This window comes from Homo sapiens, chromosome 18 (genome assembly GCF_000001405.40).
Source record: "Homo sapiens chromosome 18, GRCh38.p14 Primary Assembly".
Lineage (NCBI taxonomy): Eukaryota > Metazoa > Chordata > Mammalia > Primates > Hominidae > Homo > Homo sapiens.
The window spans coordinates 55,221,767-55,241,775 of record NC_000018.10 but is presented as its reverse complement, the minus strand read 5'-3'; the positions used below and the strand labels follow the sequence as shown (position 1 = coordinate 55,241,775).

Here is a 20,009-nt window from a genome sequence, read left to right as displayed (position 1 = left end):
CATTCGTTTAGGTGAGCTTCTTTATACTTCTACTCTCTTTTCAAATATATTACAGTAAGCATGTGTTACTTGAATAACAAGAAAAGCATTTAAGAAATAAAGGCCAATGGGTAATGGTAAATCCCTAGGGATCCTTAGGGATGGGCCACCTGGACTGGCTAAAAACTGTGTGGAGGTCAGCAGCATGACTGTGCACTCTCACAGGTATGCTTGCACTTCAGGCATTCAGAATTCCAAGTGTAAATCAAGTGTCCAGTTGTCTTTTCCTTTAAACAAAAGCTGTTTACACATAATTGCTAGACTTCACCATATTCTCTGTGCTAGATATGTTTGGTTCACTAGGATGGATTAACTTTAGTTCCATACCATCTACTTACTAGCCTGCTATGTGGAGCAAGGAAGAGATAGAGGAATGGGCTCTGTTAATCTGCCAGTGTCCCCGCTAGGTGAGCTCTCTCCAGTTATGGTTTCCACTGTATAGGAAAATGATGTCGAGAATTGAGGGTGTGGGACACAGAAGAGAGAAATGAAACAGTTTTAATAGATGGAACGTATGAGTTAGTACAAGAAAGATGAACTGAGGTCGGCTCACATCCGTTTGCATTTCTTGAACTATATCATAGAATCATTCATTTAACCATTTTGGTGAACATCCAGGGGAGTTTCAGCCCAGCTGATCATATGATAGACAAGCACTGCCAAGGTCAGGATCATTTAGATCATGTTTAAATCCTCTTGAAAATTACTTTATTATCTGGAGAATCAATATTAAATAAATCTCCAAGAATTGCACAATAAGGAATTACCTTACATTTCATACAGAACATAAGAGAAGCTGTGATGTTTCTGGAAAACAATGTAGGTGTTCTCAAGACAGTTATGAAATCTTCTCCCGACATACATGTTAAGAATCAAGTAAAAATCCAAACAAAAGAATTGAATCCAGATCTGATGTTAATGAAAAGTCTCTTAAAGGTTTAATCACATGTACTAAAGAAAAATCATCTGATAATTTTTTAAACTGAGAAATATGGAAATTATGTTTGTGGTTGGAGTGTCCCAGATGTTAGCTCTTTCTCCCACAACAGGTGGTTATTAGAGGTAGGTCTTGTTTTCTGCAGAGCCTCTGTGCCTCTAGTGTTGTTCCTCACAGTATCTATCTACTGCTGCCATTCCATGAACTTCCTAATTCCCATCTGTGAGCCATTAAAAAAGTTTGCATGACCGCTTCCCACCTCTTTAAAAGATGCACTTTTGTACTAAATGGTGTTTTGCACATTTGAGAAAATAAGTTTGCTTTCCTCTAATATGACAGAGGTCTGGCAAGATAATTGAAACTGAAATCTAGTACTCTACAACTGTCATGTATAATTGATATTTCATGGGGAGATTACAGTTCAGACACCAAAACTGTTTTCTGTATCAATGGGTTTCTAATTACAGTGAAAACCCATCAGCTTTTCTTTTGTGTTAATGGAAAAACAACAGAGAAAAGTAACAGTAAGTTGCAGTTACCAGGACTTCTGTCTTTGTCCCATTTTGTTGTTGTTCTTCTTTCTAAAAACCAAAAAAATCTATGTCCAAAATTGGAAACCAGATGCCATTAATAGCAAACTTTAATTTTGATGTACCAAAATGTTTATAATAGTATATCCAGTTTTGTGTCATTATCACTTGGTCTAGAAACTGATGACAAGTTTCCTAAAGTTCCCATTGTATACTCTTTTAGAAGGATTATGGTAGAATAGAAGTGACTGAGGTCTGAAAGCCTGTTTTGAAGCAGTTATCTCTGGAGATAACATTAACTAGGATTGAATAACTGCCAAATGAAATTTAATACATTTTCCCATCCATGAAATAGGCCTCTTAAATACAACAGAATAATTACTTTCACAATACTCCCTGGAAACAAAGAGAGCAAAAATATTGAATGTCTTTTTTGTTTGTGGTGTTTGTTGTTAGCTAGAGGATAAGGACAAGGATATTTACCACAATGCTGAATGCATCTCCATATAAAAACAGCCTTGCCAACAGCCACCTAATTTGAATCTGCATGTCTTTTAAATCTGTTTATGTTGGAGGGATCGTGGCAAATATTAAATTTTATAATTTAGTTAGACATCTTGGCCTTGGCCTGAGTTAATGAACTATGATTTTCCCCCTGCAATAAAGAAAAAGGAAATGATTTTCCTCTATCTATATATGTACGTATATATATGTATGTTATATGCTTGTACCTAGGTGTGTGTATACATGTATGGACACACACACACACTGTTTTAAAACAAAAGCTCTGGGAAATAAACGCATCTTGCCCCCTAACTCTCCTCCCCTCTCCTATATAATTGTTCAGTGTTGTAAGTTTTCTGAGTTCAAAATCTGTTTTAGATCTCCAACTAAGCATCGAAAGTTGGATCTTAAGTCACTTCACCATTCTTGGCCTTAGCTTTCTTTGTAAAATGAAGAGTTTGACCTAACTGATATATAACCAAGGTCCTCCAAGCCCTCGACGTCTAAGTTCTGTGATTTAAAAGTGTTTCTATCAGTTTGTCAAGCCCTTTCTTGGAAACTAAGGTTATTTAAAATTATATGGTGCTTACGTGATTCAAAATAATTATTGCATATCTAATGACATTTAATTATTTCCATTGACAAATTCACACAGGAGAATTCAAATAGCTGTGTTGGAATTTGAATATAATTTGACCTAAGATACAATGTAACTCAGACATTTACACCTACATGTACCAGTCAATATGTGGACGGGACAGGCCAAGCCGCCTGTGTTTGGACTACATGATCTTATCCCCCCTTCCTCGTTTGTAGCTCTCTGGACCGGGAAAATGCCTGTCATTAAGGTGGCCCATTCATAGTATGACCTATGTCTGCTTCAAAATGAGCTGGGCCATCCAGTGATCTTGGCATTCTGAGCTTAGAAATACAAAGACAAAGAGGAAATTAGCAGGAGGTACAGAACCAGAAAGAATGCACCAAGAGGTATCATGAAGAAAGAGTCCAATCTGTCATCATGAGAGGGCAGAAGCCAGAGAGAAGCAGAGGTCCCCCCAGAGAGAGGAGAGAGGCTGAATAGCCCAGCAGAGGCGAGGAGTGGCATTCGGTTCCCAAGAGCTCTCTGAGTCCAAAACCTAAGCTACAGAAAACTATTTATGATAAATCTTTTATTTGAACAAACTCAAATAGGTTTCTCTTCCTTACTATTAAAACTACCCCACTAAATTGATCAGCATACAAAAATCCCCCCAAGAATCATTATGAGTTCCACAAAAACCAGGACCACATCTGAGTTATTTCTCATTCTATCCCCAGTGTCTCCCAAAGTGACAGGCATGAGCTAGATTAGAAAATGTTTGTTAAATTAGTAAATGCATTCTCTGATCAATCAATGAATAATCATTGAATAATTTTTAAATTTCACTTCTATCTTCTATTTTTAGCATAGATATCACTAAAACTGCATTATACGTGACTATGGGAAGATTCACATTTACAATGAGTATTAATAAAATTTTCATAAGCTGGCTTTTAACTTTAGACTATTGTTATCTCTATGAAAAGGTTATCAAAATAGAGCTTTAACGAAGTATGGATTTTCTAAAAATAGGGACGAAATGTCATGCTTAGAATTGACTTGTGGGAATCTCCTTTCTCCTAGTCACATTATGACGTATTTAAGTTCAGAATGCCAAGATCATTGGATGCCCCAGCTCATTTTGAAGCAGACATGGGTCATTCTATGAATGGGCCGCCTTAATGCCAGTGGGCAAATCCCTGACCCTTGTATATACAGAGAACAGTGTGAGTTTCTCCATCTATTTCTGTGTTATTCTAGCGATGGATTTGTGCCGACAGTCCACTGTGTTTCTTCCCTTGTCTCTTATGTGACCAGAAATAATGTTTCTGAAAGAGAAGAAAACAGGGTTAGAATATGCCATCTGTGGCCAAGGAAACAAGCAAAGCCAAGCCAATTATTCAAATTGGAATACTCTTCCACAGCCACAGGCAATGGAGTTGATCCTATCCTGGAGAATCAAGCTCATTATTACATGGCTCTGGACCTATCAGAGGGCATTCACATGACCTGGAATAGACACAAGGGGAGTCTTAAAACATCACGACAAATTAGCCGGCGTGGTGGTGGGCGCCTGTAATTCCAGTTACTTGGGAGGCTGAAACAGGAGAATTGCTTGAACCTGGGAGGCAGAGGTTGCAGTGAACGGAGATTGCACCCCTGCACTCCAGCCTGGGTGACAGAGCAAGACTCTGTCTCCAAAAAAAAAAAAAAAAAAAGTCAGAACAACTTTGTCTCTAACATTCTTTATGGAAAATGATTGATATTATTTAAGATGATCTATAGAAAATAGATGGAGTTAGGTAACATATGGGCCTAAAATCCAAACAAAAATGTAGTTGGAACAACTATATCCTCAGATATATTTATAATATTTAAGAGTTTACAGTCATTGTATAGGGGAAAGATTTAAAATTAAATGGATTTTAACAAAATAGAGACAAAGATCACCGTAACTGAAGATAGCTTGAGTTTTGAGGGGGTTCTTGAACTACACAGGCTATTATTTCTATATAACATGCAAGTATTTTCAGTCAAAACACATGATTCTGTCTGCAGTTATTATGTACCTATTACATACCAGTTGTCATGTACGATTGCATGGGTTCTCTTTTTCTCTTTTGAGAACTTACCTCAATGTGATCTAGAGGGAAAAAATTTCAGGAGCAGTAACTGAATATATTTTAAGTAAAAAGCAAAACATTACTCTTAAGTTATGTCACAGATGCTTGCAAAGAAATCTTGAGAGTGTTAATGATTCTGAAATAGGAGTACACTTCTCCTCTATGCTCAAATCTGTGGTTACCTTCAGTGATTTTGACTTAGAGTCATCCTTTGTAGAAATTCAAGAAATTAGATCCATTGGGAATACAAATAAATATGAATCAGCACGAAGAATTATTTAGGTTTATATTGATTGACAGACATAAAGAGCCACCATTTGATCAAGGCCTGTAAAAATTCATGCTTACAAGTTGACATCTTAGATTGAAAGGATAATCATTGATTGAATCCGTTTTCTAATGCATGAATATAAAAATAGCAAATCAAAACCTCAATGGAAAATAGCTATCATGCTTCTGAATAAAAATTAAAATATATAAGAGAGTGAGTTACAAATGGTTGCTGGAGCAGGTGGGCGTGGTCTGCCTATAAGAGAGCAGACTTCAGTCACAGAGGAAAGGAGTGGTGTGGCAGGCAACAGGGTTGAATATGTTTAAAAAAAAAAAAAGGTTTGTACTTAACGCCACAGAGCTCTAGAAGCTGAAACTAGAATCAGTGAGTGAAATCTACAAAGAGGCCAATTTGTGGTAAAAATGGAATGGGCTTCTTTGGGAGATATCAGTCTCAGTACATTTGAAGCACCCCACAGAGGCCAAATAACCACCATTCAGAAAGTTCTGTGTTGCGACACAGGCACCGGGGAGCAGTGCTGGACTTCCTACATCTCTCTGCTGAAACATTCATTTATACTTCCTGAGGCTCATAAGCCTCAAGTGTTGTCTTATTCTTGCTGTATTTTGAATCCAAACAATTAATATGATTTATGTGATCATCTCCACCCAAAATTTAAAAAAAAGTTGGAGTGCATACACACACACACACACACACACACATGCACACATGAATATAAAAATGGCATACTTCAGGATCAATTACTTAAATATATTTTCAGTAAAAAGCAAAATATTATAGGTGATACTTAATACATGGCTGCCTTTAAATAGCATGTGCTTATTAGGTCCTGTGAATTTGTTGTTGGTTCAGATACTTATTGTTGATGCATTCTTTGGAAATACCCTTTTAAAATATATTGGTAACACAAGAGTGATGATTCTCCTTTCTGGTTTCATATTTTTGACTGGAAAAAAAAATAAACCTGATTCATAGCAGTATAAATGTATGGTTAATTTTTTGTGTTTTAGACCCACCGTCCTGTGTAAATGCTCACTTAACCATAGGCTAAGAAAATACTTGGAAATAGAAAAGAAAATGTGAACTACTGATTGTCCTCTTAGTTGACAAATGCTTCATGTTTTCGCTTGAAGGCATGTGCTATGAAGTAGGCAGTTGCTGTCTCAGTGCCACAAGTTCAATGTCTCTGGACCCCAGAGTCGATAGTAGTAGTTAATAAAAAGCTCAGCAGTATTTTTTTAATGAAGTAATCATGCTGTACTCTATAATTTTATTCTTGGAAGCATAAAGAGTATTTACAATATGGTGTCTTTCTAGGGTCAGAATAGTGAGGAAAAAAATGGAAAAATGTCCAAACATCCTTCCTTGCATGGCAATGATGGCATTACTGGTGTGTTTAATAAAACCTTTATTGGTACATTTTCCGGTGTGGTGGCATTGGCAGAAACCATCCCCCTTTGGATTTGGAACTCAGCAGCTGATGAAATACAGTAAACATTAATTTGGAATGGGCTGCCAGTTTTGGAAAGCCAGGTGACATTTTATTATATTTGTACCAAGCAGAGGCTGTGTCCCATACTGCTGTAGCTTCCGCTGTCAGAGGCTTAGCTGGCATTATGGAAAAAAAAAAATGGCAGGCCTGAGAATCTTATCCCCTGAAATGAAAGTCGAATGCCAAATTGAAATTCCTGTAGGATTTCCGATAGCAATGGGGGAATTGAGAAGCTCACAATTAAGCATATGGGCATTAAGATAATTGTCAGATCTGTTGGCGGACATGATAGAAGACAGATGGGTACGAATCAGTGCGCTCCACTGCAGCACCCTGGGAGGCAATTTGACGTTTTACCTGCCTGAGCTACTCTGCCATATTTGTCACTGAATGTACAGCACGGCATCTTACTGAGTGTTAAGTGTTTTCGCCGGGAACTATAGGTGCATGTGCGGTCCTTCAGCGCCCTCTAGTGAAACGCGTTTGGGAGTATGGTTTTTGAAAAGCCAGCCTTCATCAGGTCCTCTTGGCCTCTGGAAATAGCTGTCGCACCTCCGGTTCCTGCTCACCTCTCTGGTTCCTCTCGCCCTTTCAGGTGGGGACCCATCGTGAAGATGGCGTGGCCCTGAGAGGCAGCCATTCTCTTCTGCCAAACCAGGTTCCGGTTCCACAGCTTCCTGTCCAGTCTGCGACTTCCCCTGACCTGAACCCACCCCAGGACCCTTACAGAGGTAGGTTGGCCTCACCAGGGCACTTCTGACCTCACTTTCACAATAGGACCAGTGTTGATACCCAGCCTCTTGGTGTTCATCCCTCAAGAAGCACTGGCAGAAACCCAGGAATCAAATTGGGCACAAAAATGGTAAGGAAATGGCAAAGTATTTAGAACTTCGCCCGCTAATTGTGTTTCTCCAGGGACTGTTTTCCTCAAACATCCTCTGAAATCCTGGTCCTATATCAGCAGGGAATGAGGCCACAGACTGATGAGAGGAAATTTTATTTTAGCTATTTCCACATTTTTCTCATTCAGGTCCTCTAATGTGGTTAGTTGTGGCCTGAAAATGATATTTCCAAATGAATAGGAAGGAAGGAAATTGTTTTTGTTGTTTAAGATGGAAGGAAATATAGGTGCATTTAAAAAATGGAGCTTGGTTGCATGATTTTCGCTCTTGAGTCATCTAGCCCTCTAATGATTGCCTCATACCGGTGATTACGAGCGGCTTTTCATGACCCCAGGAAGTTGGGCTATTGCTGGCCAGCTGACTAGGAGTCGCTTAGATAACATCTTCTCAGTCCCTTCACATTTAATATAAAAATGATAACATTGCCACAGGAATACATGTGGGCATTTTTTCAGCTGTTCAACATTGTACAGATCTGAGTGTCAATTATATGTATGGGTATGTCTGCCCATTTTTTATGAATAATAATCATTTTATGGACTTTTTTTTTTTTTTTTTTTGACAGAGCCTCACTCTGTCGCCCAGGCTGGAGTACAGTGGTGCGATCTCAGCTCACTGCAACCTCCACCTCCCAGGTTCAAGCGATTCTCCTGCCTCAGCCTCCCAGGGGGTAGCTAGGATTACAGACATGCATCACCATGCCTGGCTATTTTTCGTATTTTTAGTAGAGACAGGGTTTCACCACATTAGCCAGGCTGGTCTTGAATTCCTGACCTCAAGTGATGCACCCGCCTCAGCCTCCCGAAGTGCTGGGATTACAGGTGTGAACCACCACAACTGGCCAGGACCTTTCTTATCAGGAGGCTTTGGATTTTGCCCTCTTTGTCCTAAACCTGTGCTTCTCAAACTGCACATAAGCACAACCTGAGCATCTTGTTAAAATGCAGATTCCACTTCTGTAGGTCTGGGATTGTCCATTTCTAATGGGCTCACAGATGATGAGGCCGCATGGACCAAAGTTTGAGTGGCAAGGTTCTAGAATACACAGATTACAAATAAAGAGGAATACTTGACAGATATGCTTCTACCTTTAAAAAAATTACTACATTAGGGTCGTGTTTTAAAATGCAGTGTGACTTGGAAAGTTGAGCAATGATAAAGCTAGAAATTTCTAAAATGAGTAGCAAACTGCCTTCCATATGTACCATTTTAAAATGCTGATTACTTCTTGAGAATAAGAGAAGCCTAATTTCAGAATATCATTAGGGTACCTATTGAAGTCTTGACTGCACATATTTAGCATACTCCCTGGGAATTATATTTTAAGGACATTTTTCTATTAAATCATTGCATATGGAAGAAACTCAATATAATAGCTGATATTTACTTGGGTTCTTAATCAGAACATTGGCTGTGTGATTTTCATGATTATGATTTTCATTGCAATTAAGTTGATGTTTTGTAGACAGTGAAATTACCATCTACTCCAAAAGATTGCAAAATAGAATTTAACCTTAGAGCCAATGCAGGGAAAACTTGTTTCTGCAGGTGCATTTTTTGAAACTTCAACAGATAGCAGGGGGAAAAAAAAGTGACAGAAGGATCACAGTTCAGCAGTATGAATTGTCTGCTGGCAGCCTTGCAATCTGGTGTGCAGGCAGTGAGATTGTGGTGTACATGTCACCTGATTTCTCTTTTTCGGCAGGCATGCCACCAGGACTACAGGGGCAGAGTGTCTCCTCTGGCAGCTCTGAGATCAAATCCGATGACGAGGGTGATGAGAACCTGCAAGACACGAAATCTTCGGAGGACAAGAAATTAGATGACGACAAGAAGGATATCAAATCAATTACTAGGTCAAGATCTAGGTAACAGTATATAATACTGTCGCTTCATTTAATTCCTTTATTGGACTTTGATGAAGTGAACAGAACGGGAAGAAACTATTCAGTTTTTTCCTGGCAGGTAAATTTACAGCTGAAAAGAAAATTAAAGGCCTACTCTAGAAGTACTAAAAGTATCGTTTCAGATACCTGTACTCTATTGGAGCCTAAACTGTTTTGGCATTTATGAATCTGGACCCAATGCTAATGACACACAGTGAAAAAATTTGTCTCTGATTCAAGTACAGTTTATTTGTAAAACTATACTTATTCTACAAATTTGGTCAGAAATGTTGTGTCTATAATATTTCTAAAAAGAGATTGTAGCCATGTTAAAAACTCAACTGATGTATGTGCCAACTATAACTCTTTTCTTACCTCTAAAGTAAGAAAATAATTTCCTAGATTTATCCTAAACATGCTGATGTATATAAGAGTAATACCTTAATTGTTTATGGTTTTTCTTCCTGGACACTCTTTTCTACAGAAAACACAACTGCAGGAAAATAGCTTCTGTCTGGTTTTCTTAAATATCTGCTATCTTTAAATTCAAATCTATATCTCCTTGAACTTTAATCTGGTAATCAGATGGTTTTTGAATACCAACACCCGTGTACTTTGCCTCAATTCCCTGAGGTTGTTTTTATTCACAAATTCAACCAATTGTCCTAAGACTACAGCTTTCCTTCTAAAGGCTGTGGTTCTCAAGGTTCTATCTGGAATCTTTTGTGAATTAAGAACATGCTGCCTCTTTATGTTGCTGTTGTAATTATTGAGATAAATTCCGTGTCTTGCCACAAGTTTAAAAATGCCGAATACTTCTAGATAACCCCTTTCCTTCCTTGTTGTCTTTTTCTGATTCTTGGCCACTTTGGCAAGAAATCCCAAGGAGGGGATTTCATACCTTTAGCAGCTTCTGTGTTAGACCAGTCAGTTCTTGGTAATTTAACTTATTGTGGCCAAACTTATGCATGTTAATGGATTCTTTGAAGTTTTGGAACAACATTTTCATTCGCTGTTGAGAACCTTCTTATTTAAAAAGGTCACTCTTATGACATTTACTTATGTATGCCTCCAAAACTGTATTATAAGGCAGTGCTTTTTCAAATCTAGGCAGTTTTATTTGCATAACTAGTTTATTTGTAAGTGAATAACCAATTCTAATTGGTCGTTAGCCTGAAAATCTTTGGAAGAAAAGTTCCTATTTTCCAGTCTCCTTTGTGTAAGGTGTAGCATTTGTTGGATGTATAAAAATATCACCCAAATGCTCAGCTTCCGGACAGGCCTGGCAGAGACTGTTTTCATTTGCTTTTTACAGCCTATTTGCATAGTAGAATATAGGAGTGAATTAATCATTACTGATTTCCTTGGCACTGGCAGCAGTTGGGGGTGAGGGCAGAGGAGGGATCCGCAGAAGGCAGAGAAAGAGGGCCTTTTCCAGTGGACTCAGTTGACTTCCATGTTTACCATACACACCTGTGGCAGACAGTGCCATCTGGAAAGGCGCTTACGCTATGGAGAGAGAGGAGCCTGGTCTTACAGCATCCTTCTGTGGTGTCATCCTCCTTGCCCCTAACTTTTCTCCTTCACCCAAGTGTTCTTGACTTACGTGCATTATCTTTATGTGTAACGTATACTTGCAACCGAAGAATACCACTCCCACTTTTGATTGATTGGAGCTTCTCAAGTGTAATTGGTCCTTATTGCCACTTGGAAGTTACCCAGAGATTCTCCAAAATGGAACATCAGAGTCATATATTTTAAACCAGCATTCATTAAATATACATTTAATTGAGTAGATAATTTCCCACATCTTCCAACTCCGAAATGTTGTGATTAATCATCTTTATTCTGTGAACATTTCCAATGTGTGAAATTACCCTTTAGGTTAATTGTTAGTCACTTCCATGGAGTTTCTTGTGATGGGGAGTCTACTGATGTTCAGTGAAGTTTGTTTCATTTTCTGTGTCTCTCATAAGCCCCCCAAAAGTCCTCACTCATGTTTATTCACAATAGTCATTCAGAGCTTTATAGCACGTGCTGCTCTGCCTTCTTGAGACAAGACGTCGTGCACACTTCTCTTTTTTACATGACAGCCCTTGGAATATTTGAACCCTGCTGCTGTGACGACTTCCTCATATGATATGCTTTCCAGGTGGCTCATCATCCTCTTTGCCTTCCATTCAAAAGTTTCTAATTTGTCACTGTAACACTCAGAAATGGACAGAACCGATCTTATCTTTTCAGACTATTCTGGGCCCGGCCATGCATTTGTTATGAATCATGGAATATTTTGGTTTTCACAATTAGAAATTACCTTTTGGCTTTTTTTTTTTTTTTTTTTTGTAAGAGACAGAGTCTGGCTGTGTTGCCCAGGCTGGAGTGCAGTGGCCTGATCACATCTCACTGTAGCCTCCACCTCCTAGATTCAAGTGAGCCTCCCACCTCAGCCTCCTGAGTAGCTGAGACCGCAGGTGTGCATCACTGTGCCCAGCTAATTTTTTTTTATTTTTTGTAGAGACGAGGTCTCACTATATCGTCCAGGCTGGGGTTATAGGCATGAGCCACTGCACCCAGCTTTCTGGCTTCATTTTTGACTCACAATGAGGTCATGGTCATTCATAAGCTGCAGGTGTTTGGTTTGTTGAATCGTTTTGCATGACTGATATCAGTTCAGGTTTCCCAAACTTGTTCTGTGGATCATAAACATCTATAAGATTAAAGACCATGGAAGTCATGTTTTTGTAACTTTTTGTTTAATACATAGAGAAAATGAGACTCACATAGTGGGTTGACCAGGCCTTCAAAGCAAGGTAATGGGGACACCTGAATAAAAGCCTCACTGTCTTCACTCCCATTGCTCTGGTGTCTTACATATAGGCCTTTCTTCTTACTCCTGTTAAGCTGCCTTGTATTTTTTTGACCTATCAAAATCATTTTTCAATTACTTGTTTCCCCTAGATTTCAGATGTCACGGTATGAAAGGTTTTATATATATTTAAAAAATAAAGTATAAACATAAAGTCTTTTTGAAGCGTGGTTATGCAACATATGCTAGGCGTAAGTTGGTGAATGCCTGCTTTGCAGAGTGTAACCCCATTGAATAAAAAAAGCTTTGTTTTCCCTTTCTGCCCCCCTGTATCAGTATGGGCACACCCTGCACTCTAACTTTAATCTACGTCACCCTCACCTGTTTGGTTTGGGTTTAATGTCTGCGAGAAAACCAAATATCTTGTGTATTGTGAACTGTCAAAGCCATCTAAACCAATCCCAAGGTCAAGTGGATATAAAAATTCTGCCAAAAACATGGCATAAGATGGAAAAGTTCCCTGAAAACTCTGGAAGAAAACAAAGTAATGTAGACACCTTCTTTTTCCCCACACCATTAGAAAATGTTGCATCCCTTTTGTCCCACAGCAATAATGACGATGAGGACCTGACACCAGAGCAGAAGGCAGAGCGTGAGAAGGAGCGGAGGATGGCCAACAATGCCCGAGAGCGTCTGCGGGTCCGTGACATCAACGAGGCTTTCAAAGAGCTCGGCCGCATGGTGCAGCTCCACCTCAAGAGTGACAAGCCCCAGACCAAGCTCCTGATCCTCCACCAGGCGGTGGCCGTCATCCTCAGTCTGGAGCAGCAAGTCCGAGGTCAGTGCAGGCCAGCCTCCTTGCAGAGCTCGTGAGGAGCTTGTGGCAGGCACAAGCTGAGATGGGCACGCCAGTCTTGAGCAGTGGCAGACAGTAGACTTTCAAGCATCATTCCAAAGAATTGTTTCCATTGCAGACTGTGTCTAAATCCATAAGGCAGCATCCCTTTCTCCTGTAATTAAGTTGTGGGATTCTCTTATAACTAAGATTATATTGCAACTTTCCCTATATCCTTTCAGTAATTTGAGCTTAGTTTATTTGCTTTACCAACCTTTGCTTACTGTAAAGTGGCTGTACACACTCACATGCAGTTCACCTTTTACTAGTGACTGACCAAATGGATTGCCACAGTACTTAGTAACTGTTCCTTTTGTTCTGTAATATAAACACTGAGAAAAAGGTCAGACACGCAAGAAGAGTGCATTGCTGCCCTCTGCCAGAAGCCTCAGCATTAAACAAAGGTTCTGTGCTTTAATCCTCCACAGAAAGGAATCTGAATCCGAAAGCTGCGTGTCTGAAAAGAAGGGAGGAAGAGAAGGTGTCCTCAGAGCCTCCCCCTCTCTCCTTGGCCGGCCCACACCCTGGAATGGGAGACGCATCGAATCACATGGGACAGATGTAAAAGGGCAAGTTTGTTTTCAGCCATTTCTGAGATCGATCATTCAAAACTCTCATCAGTGTATCAGCCATAAAAGTGAATTTCACCCAAATTGACAGATATTTTCTTTCATGGAAAAAGAATTTTTTTTAAAAAAAGCATACTTTTTCTGTTACAAATATATTAATGAATTTTTTCTCTCTTTTTTCCTTTCTCAGGTCCAAGTTGCCACATTGCTTCATTAAAACAAGAGACCACTTCCTTAACAGCTGTATTATCTTAAACCCACATAAACACTTCTCCTTAACCCCCATTTTTGTAATATAAGACAAGTCTGAGTAGTTATGAATCGCAGACGCAAGAGGTTTCAGCATTCCCAATTATCAAAAAACAGAAAAACAAAAAAAAGAAAGAAAAAAGTGCAACTTGAGGGACGACTTTCTTTAACATATCATTCAGAATGTGCAAAGCAGTATGTACAGGCTGAGACACAGCCCAGAGACTGAACGGCAATCTTTCCACACTGTGGAACAATGCATTTGTGCCTAAACTTCTTTTGGAAAAAAAAAATATAATTAATTTGTAAGTCTGAAAAAAAAATATTTAATTTAAAAAAAATTGTAAACTTGCAATAATGAAAAAGTGTACTTCTGAAGAAAACTACATGAACGTTTTTGTTGGTATTCAAGTCAGCTAGTGTTTATAATTACTGGATATTGAATTAGGGGAAGCTCGGCTGCCCTAGTAACAAAACCAGCAAACGTCCTGATGACAACGAAGTGATGACATTAGCCATTCCTTAGGGTAGGAGGAACAGATGGATCTTATAGACCTATGACAAATATATATATAAATATATATATAAATATATATTAAAAATTTAGTGACTATGGTAAGCTTTTGTTCATTTGTTTCAGACTTTTTTCTCCTGTAAAAAAATAGTACTGATTAACTTTTTTAAAAGAAAGATTTTACTGTAAATATGGATTTTTTTTTTTTTGGTCTTATTTCTGTCCCTTTCCCTGGTTTGTTATCGTAACCTGTAGTGCCAACTCTGCTTCCAGAGGGGTAGTGCAGGATGAAATGCTGACCCTGATGTTGCTTCTCATTCATAAATAAGTAGAAAGTTGTTTCTCCAGTCTTTTGGGAACACAGGACTTAAAAGTCACATCATGTGTAGATATTACAAGCAGCATTACCAAGACATGGCAAAAAGAGTTTGTCTGAATTGTAATGTTGCGTTTGTGAACCTATTCTGGGATTTTCAGAGGTACAAGGTTAGAATGCTACAATGTTACCACTGTGCCTTCCAATGTTTATATCATCGGAAACATAACATAATCAAAGTGGCTGTGATTTAACAAAATGATTAAAGTGTTACCTACCTGTGTAGCCGAAGTAGTGTGCAGTGAGGCGTTTCTGAATACATGGTCAGATTTTTGGAAAAAAACAAAAACAAAAAAAACAAGTAAAGTTCAAAAACCGTCAAATGAGAAAATTGCAAGTAGTGTGACAGAGCTGATTGATTTTGTTGCTTTCTTGATTTTTTTTTTCAAAATGGGTTTACTAAAATGTAGATGACTTAACTGCCTCCTCCTTCGTCTGAAAAATGCCAATATTCAATCATCATGCAGCATTATAACAAGCCTTATAAGTCCTAAAGCATTAAGTTGCACTTTTTTGAGGAGGGGTAGTGCAGTATTTCTCTGGCCAGTATGAATGAAGTTTATACTTACCATATTTGATAGAAACATAGATCAAGCTATGGCACAGCGACTCATCAGATAGCTAGCTTTGACGTCTGGGCACAATTGAACCAACTTCCATCGTGAATCTTTATAATGATTGACTTTGGTGTATAGTGCAGTAAACAAATAGTGCTCCTAGTTAAGTATTTGTCAGCATCCTTTTGTCTCTAACTTGTTTCTATTTTTACAGCCACACAATTCTTGGCATGTATTAAGAAAAAAAAAAATCCCTGTTCAAGTAGTTTTTCCACCTATCAGCACTGAGTAAATGCCATAAATCCATTGAAATGGTCTAAATGTTCCATCTGTTCTCCTGTTTTGCCAGTTATATAGTAATGAAATACATTTGTAAATTTTATGCAACAAATGGCAAACGTATCATTATTTTGAAATTGTGTATGTAAAAGTTATATTTTTACATGTAGACTCTTGTTATTATGTGTTTTAATACATTGTATCAGTTTTTGTTTTTTTTTAAAAACTGTGGTTTAAAAAGAAGTCTCATTTAAATGAAATAGCTACAAGAATCAGAATTTTATGTTCATTTCTGAAAATGTAAGAACAAATAAGATAGTTACCACGTGGTCATCTTTTACAAACCCATAAACATTTTGATTAGCTGTGTGTGTGTTGAAAAACTGTAAATATGTTCAGTAGCGATAAAACTAAAATAACTTTGATTTGTTGATAAGTTCCTAAAATGTGGAGGTGGATTAAAACCTTAGGAGAATAGCAGAAATCAAACTTCATGAAAAGTTATTTTGGGGCTTTCCTGTGAAATGTATGAACAAAGAGGCTCAGAGAAGGACATGGAAGACAATAATGTATACTCTCTCCTCCTCCCTGAATAATGAAAACCATGTGTATTTGTTCCCTCCGTATGTTAAAGATTTCCTTTTAGTGGTACATTCTGCACTCATTTTGTATAGTCTACCAAGGCGGGTATCCCTAGGAACAATATTATATAGGAAGCAGGTATACTCTGATCACATTCAGGATAAGTGTACAGAAGAAAATACGGTGTTTACTCTTTAGGGAACTGGAAACACTCCCTGCATTGATGTACATTTTAAGAATGGCACTTTTGATACATGTTATCATAAAGGTGCTTAATAGAGCTGAATTAAAGTTTTTCAAATCTGTAAACAAAGCAAAAAAGTAAATTGTAGTCATTTGATTATTTTTTAAATTGGTGCTTTATATTTTGTTCTCACTCAGAGTAAAAGCTGCAATTTATTGTTCACCAGCTTTGATGTATTCATTACTCAGTAATGCAATACCTCTATTGTTGAATTCCCTTTGGAAATAAGTGAAAATTCTAACGGCCACTGAAAGCTGCTCGCTAGGTTTTGCTTGGTGGAGAAACATAATCTGCACCTATCCATATTAATTGGGTTGTATCCCCATTAAAAAAGAAAAAAAGGGAATGTGGCCTTTTTAGTGTGTTTTTTATTGTTGTTGTTTTGTAATTATCAAACCCAGGTAAGATATTGGTATCCTGCACTGGATTTTCAAATGAAGTTCAGCAGAAGACAGTTAAGATTAAAGTACTATACAAAAATTTCAAAAGGGTCCATACTACGCTATCTGTATGACGACACTTAGGCTGGGGATCTCTTTCAGAAACTCGGACTTTAAAAGCAACTTGGAGCAGTTGATCCACCTCCACATTCAAGTAATTTATGAATATGCAGAATAGGGATCTGTTCATCTAGAAATTTTTACCATTTGTCTTCTGTGTAGCTGCAAGGAACACTAATGTTTATACAACTGTCAGTCCACCCAGTGGTGCAACTGGTTCTGATTCAGTCTTCCGATTCCTTTTTATTTTTCACTTTTTCCTATTTCTGAATTTTTTTTTTTATTTGTGATCTTGATTTTGATGAGGGGTTGGGGAGTGGGGAGGGAGTCGAACCAAGACTTGGAGTTAAGAGGATTTTCATCTTTTGCATCCAACAGGCAGAATATGATCTGTGTCCAAAAGTGAACTTGAGTCAGGAATGAATCAATTTCAGCATAAACAAGCACAAAAATTTAGTCTGCTGGCTGACTGGAAGCAAAAAAGTCAAGATGGAATATGATGAATTCCAACACAATGGGGCACCAAGGCCTTTAGGCCTCTCTTTTTATTTTGCTTTGGTTTTGTTTGTTTTTCTTTAGAGACATGCTCTTTCTCATGGGACTTGAAGTGGACTCATCTTTGTGCAGTGCTGGTTTTGCCATACTCATTTCAAGTATTATAGACATATGTAATGGTGAAAATATATGAACTGTGGCCTTTTTCATTCTTGTTACTTGTGATGCAATTAAGTGAAGATAAGAAAAAAAAAAAAAAAGCAGAGATTTACCATGTATCAGTGCCTGGCTTTTTGTTATAAAGCTTTGTTTGTCTAGTGCTCTTTTGCTATAAAATAGACTGTAGTACACCCTAGTAGGAAAAAAAAAAAACTAAATTTAAAAATAAAAAATATATTTGGCTTATTTTTCGCAGGAGCAATCCTTTTATACCATGAATATTACAAAAAAATTGTCAGATTCTGAATATTTCTTCTTTGTAGATTTTTGGAATCATTATGAGTAAAAGTTTGTTACTTTATTTTACTATTTAAAAGATGTTATTTTACCATGTGTTACCAAGATGAAACTGTATGGGTAGCTTTTTTGTTTGTTTTTTGTTTTGTTTTTGTTTTTGTTTTTGTTTTTAGTTGTAGGTCGCAGCGGGGAAATTTTTTGCGACTGTACACATAGCTGCAGCATTAAAAACTTAAAAAAATTGTTAAAAAAAAAAAAAGGGAAAACATTTCAAAAAAAAAAAAAAAGATAAACAGTTACACCTTGTTTTCAATGTGTGGCTGAGTGCCTCGATTTTTTCATGTTTTTGGTGTATTTCTGATTTGTAGAAGTGTCCAAACAGGTTGTGTGCTGGAGTTCCTTCAAGACAAAAACAAACCCAGCTTGGTCAAGGCCATTACCTGTTTCCCATCTGTAGTTATTCGATGAAGTCATGTACATGACCGTTCTGTAGCAATAAATGTGCCATTTTTATAAACTGTTTCTGACACTTGTTTCATTTCATTTTGCATTGTCCATATAGCTATGATTCTCTTCTGTAAGTAAAACGCATCTATATTTCATTTTCCAAGTGTTGGAGGTATTGACAGCTTAACAAACAAAACATACAAAAAAAATCACAAAAACAAATTGAAAAGCAAAGCACATGATTGATCAAGGAAGAGATGCCCTTAATGAAAATGGAACGGGATGCATGCAAAACAAAAAGAAAACTGTCTAGAGGATTAACTAATTGAAGGAATATAATTAATGTGTGTGTAACACTGAAGCTATGCATTTGAAGAGCTCTGAACTGCACCAGTGTTTTCGGTTGTGCTGCAGGTTGCTAAGTCAAGTCAGCCTTAACCTTTTGCACCAGTTGGTCGGCTGTTTGGCAGAACATTCTCAGATCTTTTCAGTCAAAAATCTAAGATGATTTATTTTGTATCACTTTGTTAAAAGCTGAATATTGTTAACTACAGTTAATATTAACACTGTATTTATACTTTCTCAAACTACATCCGCCCCACCACTTCTGGTTGCCTCTGTTGACTATTAATCCAGATGTAAACAACCAGATGTTTTTTTCTAACTTGTACAAACTGACGTGTGTCAACTATCATGGAAGGAAAAAAATGTACAGATTAAAATTATTCAGTGTTATGTACTGTAAGTTAATATTTTTGTAGAATGGACATCAATCTACTTTGCAAAATTTGGAGGCTATTTCAACATTGCACTGTAGAAATGTAAAGTAATGTATGCAATGTAAAGGAAAGCCCGCGGTAGCTGAGCGCTTCATAACAGAATGTTCTAATCAAGTACGTGGTATTTGGGGATGTCTCCAATATTGCTCTTGTATTCTTTCTAATTGGGTTTAGTGACTAGTTGAAGGAAAATGTTATAACGCCATTTGGTTCACATGTGAAGTGCCCTCCATAGCCAAATGTTGGGATTTTTTTTTTTTTCGTTTTTGGTTGGACTGTTTGCAGATATTTAAATTTTATGAAATTTCCAAAGATTTTGGTTGATAACCCCCTTTTACCTTCTAAATGATTTGAGATGTTCTTATGTTCTTACTGTGTGTTTTAAATATATATAAAAGAGCCACAAGCATTTAGTCTTTTAGTATTATATTTGATCATATAACTACTACTGAAAAGGGGTGGGGGGGAATGTGCCTGTGCACCCCTACAGTATCTTGTGTAGTGTCTATTAACATTGTTCTCTTTTAGAGGACCACATTAAAAGGTACATTAATCTTACATTTTGGTTCATTTTCAAAGGGAAGTTAAATTGCTGGAGAACCTAAAGTATTATCCAGAAGTTAAGATCACAGTAATTTTAGAAATGAAGAAGGGAGGAGTATCCAAAGGGGCTGAAATAGGGAATCATTTTTAGCCTCATAATTCGGTCCATTCATCTGAAACCAAGTGAAATTTATACTCTGGGCTTCATCTGTAGAGCACCTTTCTCTTGAGGAACAGCCCAAGAAATTTCATGTGTAAGCCCCTTTAAGGGAGACATTGAAATCAACAGAAGGAACTAGTGTGCTGCATATATTCAAATCACACCAGGATCGCACATTTAAATTGCACTTGGGACGCTTCATGCTCTGCCAGCCAGAAGATCTCTTGTTCCATAAGGCATTCTCATTCAAATGGTTTACAAGTCCACATTCTC

General features: G+C 37.6%; 1 protein-coding gene across 46 annotated transcripts in view, besides 2 other annotated features; it reads left to right on the top strand.

The window, feature by feature from the left end:
- Nucleotides 1–19,591, top strand: part of TCF4 (transcription factor 4) — a 413,773-nt gene extending 394,182 nt beyond the window's left edge. For 24 of the 46 annotated variants that reach the window (NM_001243226.3, NM_001369576.1, NM_001369577.1 and 21 more), the window contains 5 exons: nt 7,093–7,228; nt 9,105–9,267; nt 12,700–12,929; nt 13,415–13,555; nt 13,746–19,591. In NM_001243226.3, the coding sequence (NP_001230155.2) occupies nt 7,093–7,228; nt 9,105–9,267; nt 12,700–12,929; nt 13,415–13,551 (666 nt within the window). In that variant the 3' untranslated portion in view covers nt 13,552–13,555; nt 13,746–19,591. The remainder of the gene's footprint in view (nt 1–7,092; nt 7,229–9,104; nt 9,268–12,699; nt 12,930–13,414; nt 13,556–13,745) is intronic. The other 22 variants (NM_001369584.1, NM_001369582.1, NM_001369571.1 and 19 more) reach the window with 3 other exon arrangements.
- Nucleotides 437–546: an enhancer, noted in NCBI's record as "active region_13352". NCBI's record gives its function as "activates an Ori minimal core promoter by ATAC-STARR-seq in GM12878 lymphoblastoid cells {active_cell/tissue: GM12878}" and the evidence as "EXISTENCE:reporter gene assay evidence [ECO:0000049][PMID:35858748]".
- Nucleotides 6,824–7,118: an enhancer, noted in NCBI's record as "tiled region #5538; K562 Activating DNase matched - State 12:CtcfO". NCBI's record gives its function as "activates a minimal TATA promoter and a strong SV40 promoter by Sharpr-MPRA in K562 cells {active_cell/tissue: K562}" and the evidence as "EXISTENCE:reporter gene assay evidence [ECO:0000049][PMID:27701403]".